Source organism: Homo sapiens, chromosome 16 (genome assembly GCF_000001405.40).
Source record: "Homo sapiens chromosome 16, GRCh38.p14 Primary Assembly".
Classification (NCBI taxonomy): domain Eukaryota; kingdom Metazoa; phylum Chordata; class Mammalia; order Primates; family Hominidae; genus Homo; species Homo sapiens.
The window spans coordinates 13,907,702-13,921,274 of NC_000016.10; the positions used below are offsets into that span (position 1 = coordinate 13,907,702).

Here is a 13,573-nt window from a genome sequence, read left to right on the forward strand (position 1 = left end):
CACTAGCCTTCCTCATCCCCACCAAAGGCACCACCAACCACATGGTTGCTTTAGTCGAAAACCTAGGAGTCATTCTTAATGCTTCCTTTCCTCCCCTCCTCCTCTCACATCCCATCTATCAAGAAATCTGTCTACTGTTCTCCCAGATATATCTCAGGTCCATTCCCTTCTCATCCCTCCATAGCATTGCCTTTTTCAAGTCTACCATCATCTGTCAGCTGAATCATATATCAGCTTCCTGTCTGGTCCCCTTGGATCTATTTTTTGTCCCATCTAACTCATTCTCCACCAATAGTCAGACTGACCCTTCTACAATTATTTCTTTTTAATAAGATAGACACAGGGTCTTGCAATGTTGCCCAGCTGGTCTTGAACTTCTGGCCTCAAGCAGTCCTCCCATCTCAGCTTCCCAAAGAACGGGGATTAGAGGCATGAGCCATTATGCCTGGGCAACCTTCCTATAATTAAATTAGATCATGGAGTGCTCCTCCTTAAAACTTTCCGTGACTTTCCATTGTGCTTAGAAGTCAGCCCAGACTCTAGGATGGCCTCATAGGCTCCCATGACCTGGATCTTACCCTCCTCTCCAACGCCATGTCATCCTACATCTCCCAGGCACACTGACCTTCCATCTGTGCCTAGAGCATGCCAAGCTTTCCACGTCCTTTGCACAGTTGTTCTCCATGACTAGGAGGCTTGTCCTCCTCCTCCTCATATGACTGGCTGCTTCTTCAGACTTTACCTCACCTGTTAGTGTGCAGCAACTCCTGTCCCCATTATTCTCATGTTGGTCCATGGTTACTTCTTAGCATTCATGACCATCTATAATAATTTTGTGTATTTATTTACCTGTTGTCTTCTTCTCTTGATAGTAAATTTTAGGAGACTGGGGCCACATCATTTTGTTCATCTTTGAATACTCAGTGCTTACAGCAGTGCCTGGCATACATCAGGGGCTCAAAAATATCCACCGGGACTTCCACTTCCAGCCAAGATGGAGGAACGGGGGCCAGATTTACCCTCACACCTGAAACAACAAAAATACCGGCAAAGTGTGTGAAATGGCAGTTTCAAGGCAGTAGACTTCAGGCAATGAAGGACAGGGGTCTCAGGGTGGAAAACAAATAAGGTGAGCCCAAACTGTGATTGCTCCAGCTTTCTAACTAGAGTTTCCAGGGACGGAATGCCCAGGAGATGCCCTGTGTCAAGGAGATGGATCTGCAAATTAGGGAAGACCAAGGCAGAAAACAGTCCTGTAGGAAAGAGCGTGGCCTGAGAGAGAAGGTTGGAGTGGTTCCCTGGGAAATCAGCTGTGGACTGATGGATGCGTGCATATTAGGGTTAGCTCAAGGCCAGGGAAGAACCAGGCTGAAGAATTAGTGGGACCAGTGTCAGGCACTCATACGGGGAGAGGTTACAAGGGCACGAGGACACGTTTGGAGGGTATTGCCTACATTCATGAGTTTTGGTGATGGTTTCAAAATGTACACATATGTCAAAACTTACCAAATTGTACACTTTAAATAAAAATAGTAAAATATTAGTATTTTAATATTATTATTTAAAATGTTTTTTAAAATCCGCTTATTAATGAACATGGCAATAGTAAACTGCAGAGCCTGATTTAAGAACACGAATGCAACCCCAGCACATTGGAATTTTAACAAATTTTATTTTATTTTATTTTATTTCATTTTATTTTTGAGATGGAGTCTGGCTCTGTCACCCACGCTGGAGTGCAGTGGCACAATCTCGGCTCACTGCAACCTATGCCTCCCAGGTTCAAACGATTCTTCTGCCTCACCCTCCCAAGTAACCAGGACTACAGGTACCCATGACCATGTCCAGCTAATTTTTTTGTATTTTTAGTAAAGACGGGGTTTCATCATCTTGACCAGGCTGGTCTTGAACTCCTGGCCTCAAGTGATCTGCCTGCCCTGGCCTCCCAAAGTTCTGGGATTACAGGCATGAGCCAACACTCCCAGCCCACAAATTGTATCTTAAAGTATGCATAAAGGTAACAATACTTGCAAATGTTCAATGGATTGGACTTTATCAAGGACAGATTTTGGAGGGGAAAAAAGACAAATTGTTCAACAGAAACAGGGCTGGAGTAGAAGTGGGAAGCAGATTGGTCACAAAATTAATAGCAATGAGTGAGTACCCGGCAAAATACCCAGGAAAGGCTGCCAATAGGCAAGACTAGAAGTATGGAAGTCTGCCACCAGAGGTTTCATTTACCCACAGAAGAGTGAGCAGAGCAAAAGCCTGTTCTTGGGAGTAAAAGAAATAGTGGCTGACTGTCTAAATGCCTCCATCCAATCAGCTTGTGTCTGGCTGGCAAGTACATGCCCTTCTTTCTGGATAATGCACGGGCTTCTCAGCCAAGGAAATGTCATTGTGCAGAATCGAGCCACCTGGCAGTGCCACAACCACCAGTACAAAAGTCCAGGGCTTTCACATTCTTCTTAAGTGAGGAATCATTGGGGTTTTGCCATTCAAATGTTTTTGCAGAACTGTTGACTCTGCTTATCTGTACTTTCAGCCATAGTCAGAACGGATTGTAACACACCATGCTCAGAAACTGAAAACTCTTGTCAAGGCATAAAAGATTTTCAAAGCCCAACAGTTTATACATTCTTTTCAAATACACATAAAATATGTACCCACAAAAAGCCCGTGTGTTTAAGCCACAAAGGAAGCCTTAATAAATTTCATAAAAATTGATCTCATATTGATTACAGTGTAATAAAATTATAAATCTACCAAAAAACAATATTATCTAGCCTCCATACATTTAGAAACCTAAAAACACCATCTGGGCTTGGTGGCTCATGCCTGTGATCCCAGCACTTTGGGAGGCTGAGGCGGGTGGATCACTTGAGGTCAGGAGTTCAAGACCAGCCTGGGCAACACGGTAAAACCCCATCTGTACTAAAAATACAAAAATTATCTGGGGTAGTGGTGCACGCCTGTAATCCCAGCTGCTCAGGAGGTTGAGGCAGGTAAAAATTGCTTGAACCCAGGAGGCAGACGTTGCTCTGTCATCCAGGCTGGAGTGCAGTGGCGCAAACTCAGGAGCCGAAATCGTGCCACTGCACTCCAGCCTGGGTGACAGAGCAAGACTTCGTCTAAAAAAAAAAAAAAAAAAAAAAAAGACCTAAAAATGCTCTTTTTATTTAATGGGTTAAACAAGAAATCAAAGTAGCAACTACAAAATATTTAGAACCAAATGACAGTGAAAGCACTGTGTGTGATATAGACAAAGTGGTATTTGGACGGATGTTTATAACCACATACCTTAATATACTAGAATTGCATATTTAAAAATTGAGAAAAGAGTGAACTAAACATTCACCTGAAGAGCTTAGAAAAAGAACAACAAAATAGAGCCAAAGATCACTGAAAAAAAAATAAAAATAGAAATTAAATATAAAAAGTGCTAGAATTGACCTACAAAGACACAAGCTGGGTCTTTGAAAAGATACATAAAATAGACAACTCTCAGCAATTTTGATTCAGAAAAACAAAGAAGTGACAAGTAAACAATATTAGCAATGTAAAGGATGACATACCAGTGGGCATTGCCATGATTTAAAAATCAAAAGAGATTACAATGGACTTTATGTGCTATTAAATTTTAAATCCTAAACGAAATGCAGTTTCCAGATGTATTTATGTAAGGTGGCCCAAGACAAAATAAAAAAGTTAGAAACTAATTACCATAAAAGAAATTTCAATAGTAGTCAAAGGTCTATCACAAGAGAAAGAGAGAAAGAAAGAGAAAAAGGCCCCAGGCCCATAGAGTTTGACAGACAAGTTCTCCCAAATCCTTAAACAATAGATTCCCTCTTCAACAGTAAAAATAAAAAGCTACCTGACTCCCATTGCAAAATTATTGTAATCTTGACATCTAATTCAAATAAACATAGCACATACAAGAAAACTCAAACCCCACTTCACTTAGGAAAACAAATGTAAAAACCCTTCATAAAATATTAGCAAGTCAAAAGTAGCAATGTAGTAAAAGGATAGTAAATGAATAGTTGGAGAATATCTGGGGAGGCAGAACAATTTTAGAAAGAGCCCCGGACTAGGAGTTTGAGTCCTGACTTACTGGGTAAAGCTTATCAGCTTATATAACCCTCAGTTACGAGCCTCAATTTCCAATATTACAGTTAGATAGAGCCACTATTTGTTGAGTACTTAGTCTTGTCAGGAACTGTGCTGAATGTTCTACATGGATTACATTAATTTAATTCCATGATGAACCACACACACAAAAAAAAAAATCCCTCAACAGCCAAGGCAATTATGAGCAGAAAGAACAAAGCTGAAGTTATCACACTATGTGATTTCAAACTATGCTACAAAGCTATAGTAATCAAAACAGCATGGTATTGGCAAAAACAAAACAAAACAAAACAGATACACCAACCAGTGGAGCAGAATAGAGAGCCCAGAAATGATCCTATGCATGTATAGTCAATTTTCAACAAAGGTGCCATGGATACACAATAGGGAAAGGATTGTTTCTTTAACAAATGCTGTTGGGAAAATAGGATATCCACATATAAAAAAAATAAAATTGGACCCTTATCTCATATCCATATATAAAAATCAACTCAAAATGGATTAGACTTAAACGTAAGACCAGAAACTGTAAAACTACTAGAAGAAAATACAGAAGAAAAACTATATAACATTGGTATAGGCAGTGACTTTTTTTTATTTGACCCCACAGGCAACAAAAGCAAAAATAGACAAATGGAATTACATCAAACCAAAGTTTCTTCACAGCAAACAATTAACAATATGTAAAGACAACCTATGGATTAAAAGGAAATGTCTGCCAGCCATACTCCAATAAGGAGTTAATATCTAAAATATAGAAGATAGTTGGACAAGTCAATAGCAAGAAAACAAACAGGCAAAATTGAAAAATGAGCAAGGCTGGGCAAGGTGGCTCACACCTATAATCCCAACACTTCGGGAGGCCAAGATGGGCAGATCACTTGAACCCGCGAGTTCAAGGCCAGCCTGGGCAACATTGTGAAACCCCACCTCTACAAAAACAATAGAAAAATTAGCTGGGCATGGTGGCATGCACCTGTAGTCCCAGCTACCTGGGAGAATGAGGTGGGAGGATCGCTTGAGCCCAGGAGCTTGAAGCTGTAGTGAGCCATGATCATGCCACTCCACTCCAGCCTGGCTGACAGAGCAAGACCCTGTCTCAAAAACTAAAACTAAAAATGAATAATGGGCAAGCAACCCAAATAGGCATTTCTCAAAAGAAGACATACAAATGGCCAACAAATATATGAAAAAAAAAATGCTCAACATCACTAATCACTAGGGAAATGCAAATTAAAACCACAATGAGATCATCTCACACCTGTCAGAATGGCTATTATAAAAAAGACAAAAGGTAACAAGTGTTAGCAAGGATGTGGGGAAAAGAGAATCCTTGTACACTATTGGTAGGAATGTAAATTAGTATAGCCATATGGAAAACTATAAGGAGATTCCTCAAACAACTGAAAATAAAAGTGCCATACGATTCAGCAATCCCACTTCTGGATATTTACCCAAAAGATCTGAAATTATTTTGTCAAAGAGACATCTGCATTCCCATGTTCACTGTAGCACTATTAACAATAGCCAAGGTATGAAACCAACCCATGTGTCCATGACACTCAGCTAGCTTGGCTGCAGCTTGCTTTTGCTTCCTAAAACCTGCCCCTGCCACTCCTCCAGAGGAGCTGCTGTGCCTGTATTTGCAGAGAATAAAATGTGCCTGGGATTTTACTCCCCACCCCTGGGCCAGTAGAAAATAACTGACGGTGCAAGTTTATGAAAGCCCAGCTCCCTTGCCTCAGGGCAGGATAACTATGAGAGGTAACTTCGACCCTTGAACCCGTGGGATAAGCCTAGGCTTTGCCCAAAATCACACCTTGCTTGGCTTCTTTCCCTTTCCTGTTCTGCTTCCCCCACTTCCTTACCAGTTTCTCCTGAGATCCCTCCCTTCCTAAATCACTTGCACAGCACAGTGATTTGCACTATTGATGCAAGACAGGCAAGCCCCACAACTGGGGCTTATCCCAGGAGGGTTCTTGGCTTCACCCAGGAAAGAGTTCAAGGGCGAGCTGGTGATATTGGACAGCAGCTTTTATTAAAGCAGCAGTTCAGAGCAGCAGCAGAGGGACTGCTCCTCGCTGAGCAGGGCTATCCTGTAGGCAGTGTGCCCAGAATACCTAGTTCTGCAGTCATATTTATACCCACTTTTCATTATATGAAAATTAAGTGGCAGTTTATGCAGAAATTTCTAGACAAGGGTGGTAATTCCAGGTTACCAGGTTGTTGCCATGGAAAAGGGCAGTGACTTCTGGGTGTTGCCATGGCAATGGTAAGCTGACATGGCACACTGGTGGACATATCTTATGGAAAGCTGCTTCCACCCCATCCCTGTTTTAGCTAGTCCTCAATTTGGTCCGGTGTCTGAGTCCCACCTACAGAGTTGAGTCCCACCTCCTGAGTTGAGTCTCGCCTCTTACCTCACCATGTCCACTTAACCAAGCTGGAACCACATAACCTAGAATTCCCTTCCCTATACAGTTCTGGATTAGGTTTGGCCACAGGAGAATTTAGCATCCAATGGGGAGGGCAAGAGTGAAGCAGCATCCAAAAGCAGGTGAGCAGTACGCAGTGTTGCAACTCATCTATATTGTCATTGGTTCCCAGGCTTACCTGGTTGGTGAGGGGTGGTGAGCAGGTCCACAGCTACTCCATCTCCTGACAGCCCTCCCCCTTCAGCCTCTCCCCTTTTAGTTTCTCCTCCTTCCTCAACTCTGCTTCCTGGCCAAGGTGAGTGTCTAAACCCATGATGACGGGCACCACCTTCCCCTACAAGAGACTCCACATCATGGAAGTCGGAAGCATGCAAGTGGTTAAGAAACCAATGTGAGTTCCAGCTCATCCCCATAGGATTCAGTTCTTCCTCCTCTCCTCTATTCTACACCCATCTTTCTTTCCTGTCTGCCTGCCCTGCTGACTTCAAGCCCAGCACCAAACACAGAAGCAATGACCATAAACAATTCAACCATCTCCCATCATTGCTTTAGGCCACAACCCTGTAATCAATCCCTTATTCCATATTACTCCTTGTAGATCTGTTTCTCTGATTGAACCCTGGCTGATACACACAGGAATTCTCAGGCTCTGCTTCTGGGGAATATGACTTAAGACAATTGGGTTCTTGTTTTTTTGTTTGTTTGTTTGAGACAGTGTCTCACTCTGTCACCCAGGCTGAAGTGCAGTGGTGAAATCTCAGCTCACTGCAACCTCTGCCCCGCCGGGGTTCAAGCAATTCACCTACCTCATCCTCCTGAGTAGCTGGGACTACAGGTGCACGCCACCATGCTGGGCTAATTCTTGTATTTTTTGGTAGAGGCAGGGTTTCACTATGTTGGCCAGGCTGGTCTTGAACTCCTGACTTCAAGTGATCCATCTGCCTTGGCCTCCCAAAGTGCTGGGATTACAGGCATGAGCACCCGCCACCTAAGACACATTGTTTAATAAATGATGGGCTTTGTGACTTACCAAGGCCAAGTGATTATTCGGGCAATGCTGGACCTCAGTCCAGGTCTACGTGACTAAAGGCCATGTTCTGTCCCCTAGAGCACGCAGCCACTGCAGACACTGAGCCATGCCAAAGCAGTGGATTCAGAGGGACTTCTGGTTCACAGTCATTTAGTGCATATTGGCAGAATTCCTCCAGATGTGTAAATATTATATTTAGTACTTAAATTCTTTAAATTCAGCATGCTCAGCCGGCAATGCCAGCAACCAGAGGGAGTTACGACTGCTGAGAATCATGCAGCAGGGAGTCTGAGGGCAGAAACTCACCAATTCTCAGCACAGGCGCTCTTGTGGAATATTGATAGCTGGTCTAATATCTAAATAGAGTATCTCTGGCTCTTCCTACACCAGCAGGTGTTTCTCACTCCTGGCGCCTGAAATGTGTGTGCCTTCTAAGACTGTAAAAATAGGCACCTCTCATATTTCTATATAGGAACACTTAGAAACAAACAGCATTTGGAAAGCTGCATACATCTTATATGAAGTCATTCCACTTTTACAAGAGTCTTGCTATAAGTCTGATGTATGAGCATAGATATTTGTATGTCTATAAAGTTCTGGTGATGATGCCCTTAAAATTCTCTGTTCCAGAGAAAAGTAGGGAGAGGCAGGACAACTGCGATGAAGCATTGCTTTGCTTGAGAGCTCTTCACTAAACAAATGTGTAAATATCCAAATTTATGCTTTATGTTCTTAAATCCCTATATGTTATGGATTAGGACAAAAGTATCAAATTTTAAGTAGAATATTGGGAAAACCTCAAATAAAATTTAACTTTTCTAATTTTATAAATTATTTTGTTGCTGTATTGTTATTTTTTAATTGGTTTTTCTTTTCGATATTTTCAAACCACAGTTGGTTGGATCCACAGATGCAGAACCCACAGAGGGCCAACTGTAAGTTTCTATCTATCTATATCTATAGTTTAGGTAAAGATAATGTGTATTTATATCTAAATATATCTAGGTAGATATATAGAAAATCTGCATATATCTAAATCTATGTAGAGATAGATAGAGAAATAAACATAAAATCAAGAAGCTTCTATGAAACAAAAGTAGGGAGCTATAAAGGTAAAGACAGAAATGCAGAACAAAAAGCCAAATTAAGAAAAGAATAATGAGGAAATTTAAATTCTAATAGAATAATTAAAATCCTCATTGGAGATAATTTAAAGCAGAAAGGACATCAAAAACCATAAGAGATATAAAGAACAAACTTTAGGCTGGAAGTGGTGGCTCATGCCTGTAATCTCAGCACTTTGGGAGGCTGAGGCAGGCAGATTACTTGAAGTCAGGAGTTCAAGACCAGCCTGGCCAACATGGCGAAGCCCCAACTCTACTAATAATACAAAATTAGCTGGACATAGTGGTGTGTGCCTGTAATCCCAGCTACTCAGGAGGCTGAGGCACGAGAATTGTTTGAACCCAGGAGGCCGAGGTTGCAGTGAGCCAAGTTCATGCCACTGCACTCCAGCCTGGGCGACAGGGTGAGACCCTGTCTCAAAAAAAAAAAAAAAAAAAAAAAAAAAATCTTCACCTCAGATTGAAAGCTTTTACCCAGGGACAAAAATAAAATGTGTAGCCACAACCTGTCACAATTTATAAAAGTCTACTTCCCCAGATACCAACATTTGACATTAAATGTTGCCCACCACACACATTTAAATCTAGAATTCACAAGGTGATATTTTTTAGTGCTGATGAAGTATTTATACAGTAGCTGGGAAGTTTTTTTCTTTCATTTTTATTATAAAAGCAATATAAGTTCATGATAAGAAAGTCAAACAGAGCAGAAGGGCATATACTGAAATACAAAGGTCTAATCCTGAAACCCACTACTTATGTCAGCTCCCCAGAAGTAATTGCTGTGGTTAAGATCTGTTTATTCTAGGACTTTTCTATGCACATACCATTTACCGTTTTGTTTTTATACAAATGGGACCATACTATACATTACTGTTTTGCAACTGCTTTTTTCAGTATACAATAATACATATTGAGTATCTTTCCACATACAGGTTTTCATGGCTAATATTCTACCTATCAGAGATGCACAAAGAAATTTTAACTACTCTCCTATTCTTGGACATTTAGGAGAAATATCCAAGAAATAACAATAGTCCACACAATGATATAATGAATACACATCTTCATATACAAGCTCCCCACTAGAATATAAGTTCTATGCCCGCTTTGCCCACTAGTAAGCTCCCAGAGCTTAGAGCAGTGCCTGACACATTGGGTGCCCCATAAACATTCACCAGATGACTGTATGTGTATATGTATCTATACATGTATTTAAAATTTCTGTGTAGATTGACCAATCGCCTTCCAAAAAGATTGTTTCACTGTATACTCCTATGTATAGTTTTTGTTTGTTTGGTTGGTTGGTTGGTTTTTTTGAGACGGAATTTCGCTTTTGTTGCCCAGGCTGGAGTGCAATGGCGCCATCTCGGCTCACCGCAACCTCTGCCTCCTGGGTTCAAGCGATTCTCCTGCCTCAGCCTTAGCTGAGATTACAGGCATGCGCCACCACGCCTGGCTAATTTTTGTATTTTTAGTAGAGACGGGGTTCCACCATGTTGGTCAGGCTGGTCTCGAACTCCCGACCTCAGGTGATCCGCCTGCCTCGGCTTCACAAAGTGCTGGGATTACAGGCGTGAGCCACCGCGTCCGGCCCTATGTATAGTTTTTAAATTTTATTTTGTTTTGATCAGCTTGGGACGTCATCTGATCAAACGGACTTAACACAAATTCATTATCTTCCAGTTCTGGGGGTCGGAAGTCCAAAATGGGTGGATAGAGCTGCAGTCCTCCCGGGAGCCCTAGGGGAGAATCCATTTCCTTGCCTTTTTCAGCTTGTAAGGGCTGCATTCCTTGGTTCAGTGCCCGTTCCACATCACTCTGAACTCGGCCTCCTGTCACATCTCTGAATCTGACCCTCCTACCTCTCTCTTTCTCTTATAAGCACATTTGTGATACATTGAGCCCACCTGGATAATCCATATAATCCCCCCATCTCAAGAACCTTAACATACTCACATCTGCAAACCCCCCTTTGCCACATAAAACAACCTACAGGCTCCAGGGATTAGGATATGAACATCTTTGGGAAGCCGATATTCTGCCTACCACCGCTTGGGAGTCAGGTTTGAATTTCAGCTTTGTCATTTCAATCTTCATTTCCTAAATATGTGTTGAGTACCCCCATATCACGTCCTGAAATAGATCTAAGAAATACACTAACTAGCTCCCGTGGCCTTGCCCAAGTTATATAACCTCCCTGCACCTCCATTTTTCTCACTGGCAGAACTGACGAGATTAATATCTGCCTCAGAGGAAACGCTGTATGTAAAGTGTCTGCCGGCAACCCTTTCCACTTAAACAGCATTCAGGAATTATATGCTATTTTCATCTTGACAAAATGTAAGCAAAATACCAGATTAAGCAGTAAAGAGGTAGAGGAACAGATCCTCTTGGAAACGGCTAGTGTGAATGTGAATTGGTATAGGCTTTCTAGAGGGCAATGTGGCAATGTGAATGGAATGAAAAGCCTTACAAATTTTTTTCTCTTTATCCCAGTGATTATTCATTTCTAGACGTGTATCTGAAGGCCACGGCTGAATTTACATACAAAGATGTTTAGTGAAATATTATTTATATTACTGGAAGGGAAAAAGCAGAAACAGACTAAATGTCCTCTAATAAGCAATTAGGTAAGTACACCCACATAATGGAAATCTCATCAGCCATATAAAAGGACTTTGTAAAAGAATATGAAACATCATGTTCAGAGGTTTGCCAAATGTTAATGACAAAGCTGGGGATTTAAATCAGGGATATTAATTATCTCGTGTCGGTAAAAGAACTCCGTGTGATGAGAGAATGTGTATATAGATAGAAAAAAAAGGACTAAATAAAATAGATTTCGTGATGTTAACAGTGGTTATTTCCAAGTAATGGAAACAAGTGATTTTCATTTTTGTTTACTTGTATTTTCTATTTTCTAATAACAAAGGTGGGGGGTTTCTATACAAAACAATTCCTCTACTAGTTCAACTATCAGGCATTTCTAGGTATAGAACAAACACTGCGGGAGGTGTCCCTCTAGTGGAAGGAGGGATTTTTAAAAATAGTTTATTGTATTGAAGTCTTTGGGAGGCAAACAGAGGTCTGAAGTCAGTAAATGATTCTGCTTATTCCACAGCCACTGCACTCCAGCCTGGGCAACATATCAACATCCTGTCTCGGGAAAGAAAAAAAAAATTAAAAGAAGGATGGGGAGTAATCGCAAAAGGAAGGGCCAAAAACCACCCTAGGAAACAGGTGCTACTAACTCTTGGCGCATTTGGAATATTGACCAGTAACTTTTTCAACTGTCGATGTCGGGGGATTAAGCTCCTTAGGCTTACTTCCCCTTCCCTTGCTTTTTGGCAGCTTGAGGCTAGGGTGCCAGGGGATGTGGAAACTCAAAAGAGACGTGAATGGAGCCTGATATCTGCAAGCTACACCGACAGGGGGCGCCAGCCCCTACAGGTGACTCCATGAATCTTCGGCTCCACTCGGCTCTTCTTCGGCTGAGTTCGGCCAACGCTTGCCTTCTCAGGCTCGGCTCTCTTCGGCTTTCTGAGAGCGCGCCTGTCGTGGCCTCGGCTCCTCTTCGGCTGCGTTCGGCCCACGATCATCTCAGTCTCAGCTCTCCTCGGCTACGTTCGGCTGGCTGCCGTCCTCTCGGACTCGGCTCTCTTCGGTTGAGTTCGGCCTACTCTCCACTAGGAGTCGGCTTCCTTCGGCTGCGTTCGGCTGCGACCCGGAAGAGCTTCCATGGAGTCAGGGCAGCCGGCTCGACGGATTGCCATGGCGCCGCTGCTGGAGTACGAGCGACAGCTGGTGCTGGAACTGCTCGACACTGACGGGCTAGTAGTGTGCGCCCGCGGGCTCGGCGCGGACCGGCTCCTCTACCACTTTCTCCAGCTGCACTGCCACCCAGCCTGCCTGGTGCTGGTGCTCAACACGCAGCCGGCCGAGGAGGTGCGGCCGCGCTGGCGCGGGAGTGAGGGGACTCCGAGAGTGTTGAGGGCCTCCTGAGCGGATGCGAGGCCTCTGACAGGGATGGAGGGGCTCTGAGGGGGATTCAGGCCCCTGACACTACGCGATGACACAGAGAAGGATGGCAGGGGTCCCCAGGGGGATGCAGGTCCCTCACACTGCGGGAACACAGACGTATGTAAGGGGTCGCTAGGAGGATACCGGTCGCTCACACCGTGCGGGGACACTGATAAGAATTGGAGGGGCCCCGAGAAGGCTGCAGGTCCCTGGCAGGAGTTGAAGAACACTAAGAGGAATGCCAGTCCCTGACACTGTGCGGGGACTCTGAGAGGGAAGGGAGGGGTCCCAAGAAGGATGCAAGTCTTTGACCAGAGTTCAAGAACACTAAGAGAAATGGGAGGGGTCCCCAGGGGATGCGGGTCCCTGACACTGTGCAGGCACAGTGAGAATGATGGAAGGGGTCCCGAGAAGGATGCAATTCCCTGACAACACTAAGAGGGATGGGAGGGGTCCCCAGAAGGATGCAGGTCCCTGACATGGGTGCAAGGGCACTGAAAGGTGAAGGGGCTCTGAGTGGTAGGAGAGGATCGGAGGTCGCTGCAGGGGAGGGGGAGATGTCGGAAGGAGGATCTGGATAGGAATAACGGGAGAGTCCTGAAGTTGGCCATTAAGGGAGTTTCTGGGGGCAGAAGGAAGGTCCCTGAAAGGGAACAGTGATGAGGATGGAAGATCTCTGAGGGTGATGGGGAGACATGAAAGGAGATGCTGAGGCGCTGGAAAAACCCCAATAGGGAAAAGGAGGGACCAGGAAATAGGACATTCACCAAGGCTGTGTTAAGAGGGCCATAGGGTCAGAAAGGGATTGGAGCTTGACGCTGAGGATG

General features: G+C 43.5%; 1 protein-coding gene and 2 long non-coding RNA genes across 5 annotated transcripts in view, besides 3 other annotated features; 1 reads left to right on the top strand and 2 right to left on the bottom strand.

Annotated features, from left to right (window-relative positions):
* LOC105371093 (uncharacterized) overlaps nt 1–13,573 on the bottom strand; it is a 43,766-nt gene that overhangs the window by 24,854 nt on the left and 5,339 nt on the right. For both annotated transcript variants that reach the window (XR_007065000.1, XR_007064999.1), the window contains exon 2: nt 850–1,027. This is a non-coding gene — a long non-coding RNA (uncharacterized LOC105371093). The remainder of the gene's footprint in view (nt 1–849; nt 1,028–13,573) is intronic.
* On the bottom strand, nt 11,764–12,377 carry LOC124903647 (uncharacterized). Its single transcript, XR_007065001.1, has 2 exons — nt 11,978–12,377; nt 11,764–11,882 (listed from the first exon to the last, which is right to left on the bottom strand). It is a non-coding gene; the product is annotated as an uncharacterized LOC124903647 (long non-coding RNA).
* Nucleotides 12,037–12,086: an enhancer, noted in NCBI's record as "active region_10485". NCBI's record gives its function as "activates an Ori minimal core promoter by ATAC-STARR-seq in GM12878 lymphoblastoid cells {active_cell/tissue: GM12878}" and the evidence as "EXISTENCE:reporter gene assay evidence [ECO:0000049][PMID:35858748]".
* Nucleotides 12,297–12,656: an enhancer, noted in NCBI's record as "active region_10486". NCBI's record gives its function as "activates an Ori minimal core promoter by ATAC-STARR-seq in GM12878 lymphoblastoid cells {active_cell/tissue: GM12878}" and the evidence as "EXISTENCE:reporter gene assay evidence [ECO:0000049][PMID:35858748]".
* ERCC4 (ERCC excision repair 4, endonuclease catalytic subunit) overlaps nt 12,453–13,573 on the top strand; it is a 32,195-nt gene continuing 31,074 nt past the window's right edge. For both annotated transcript variants that reach the window (XM_011522424.4, NM_005236.3), the window contains exon 1: nt 12,453–12,671. In XM_011522424.4, coding sequence (XP_011520726.1) covers nt 12,465–12,671 — 207 coding nt within the window. In that variant the 5' untranslated portion in view covers nt 12,453–12,464. The remainder of the gene's footprint in view (nt 12,672–13,573) is intronic.
* Nucleotides 12,697–12,906: an enhancer, noted in NCBI's record as "active region_10487". NCBI's record gives its function as "activates an Ori minimal core promoter by ATAC-STARR-seq in GM12878 lymphoblastoid cells {active_cell/tissue: GM12878}" and the evidence as "EXISTENCE:reporter gene assay evidence [ECO:0000049][PMID:35858748]".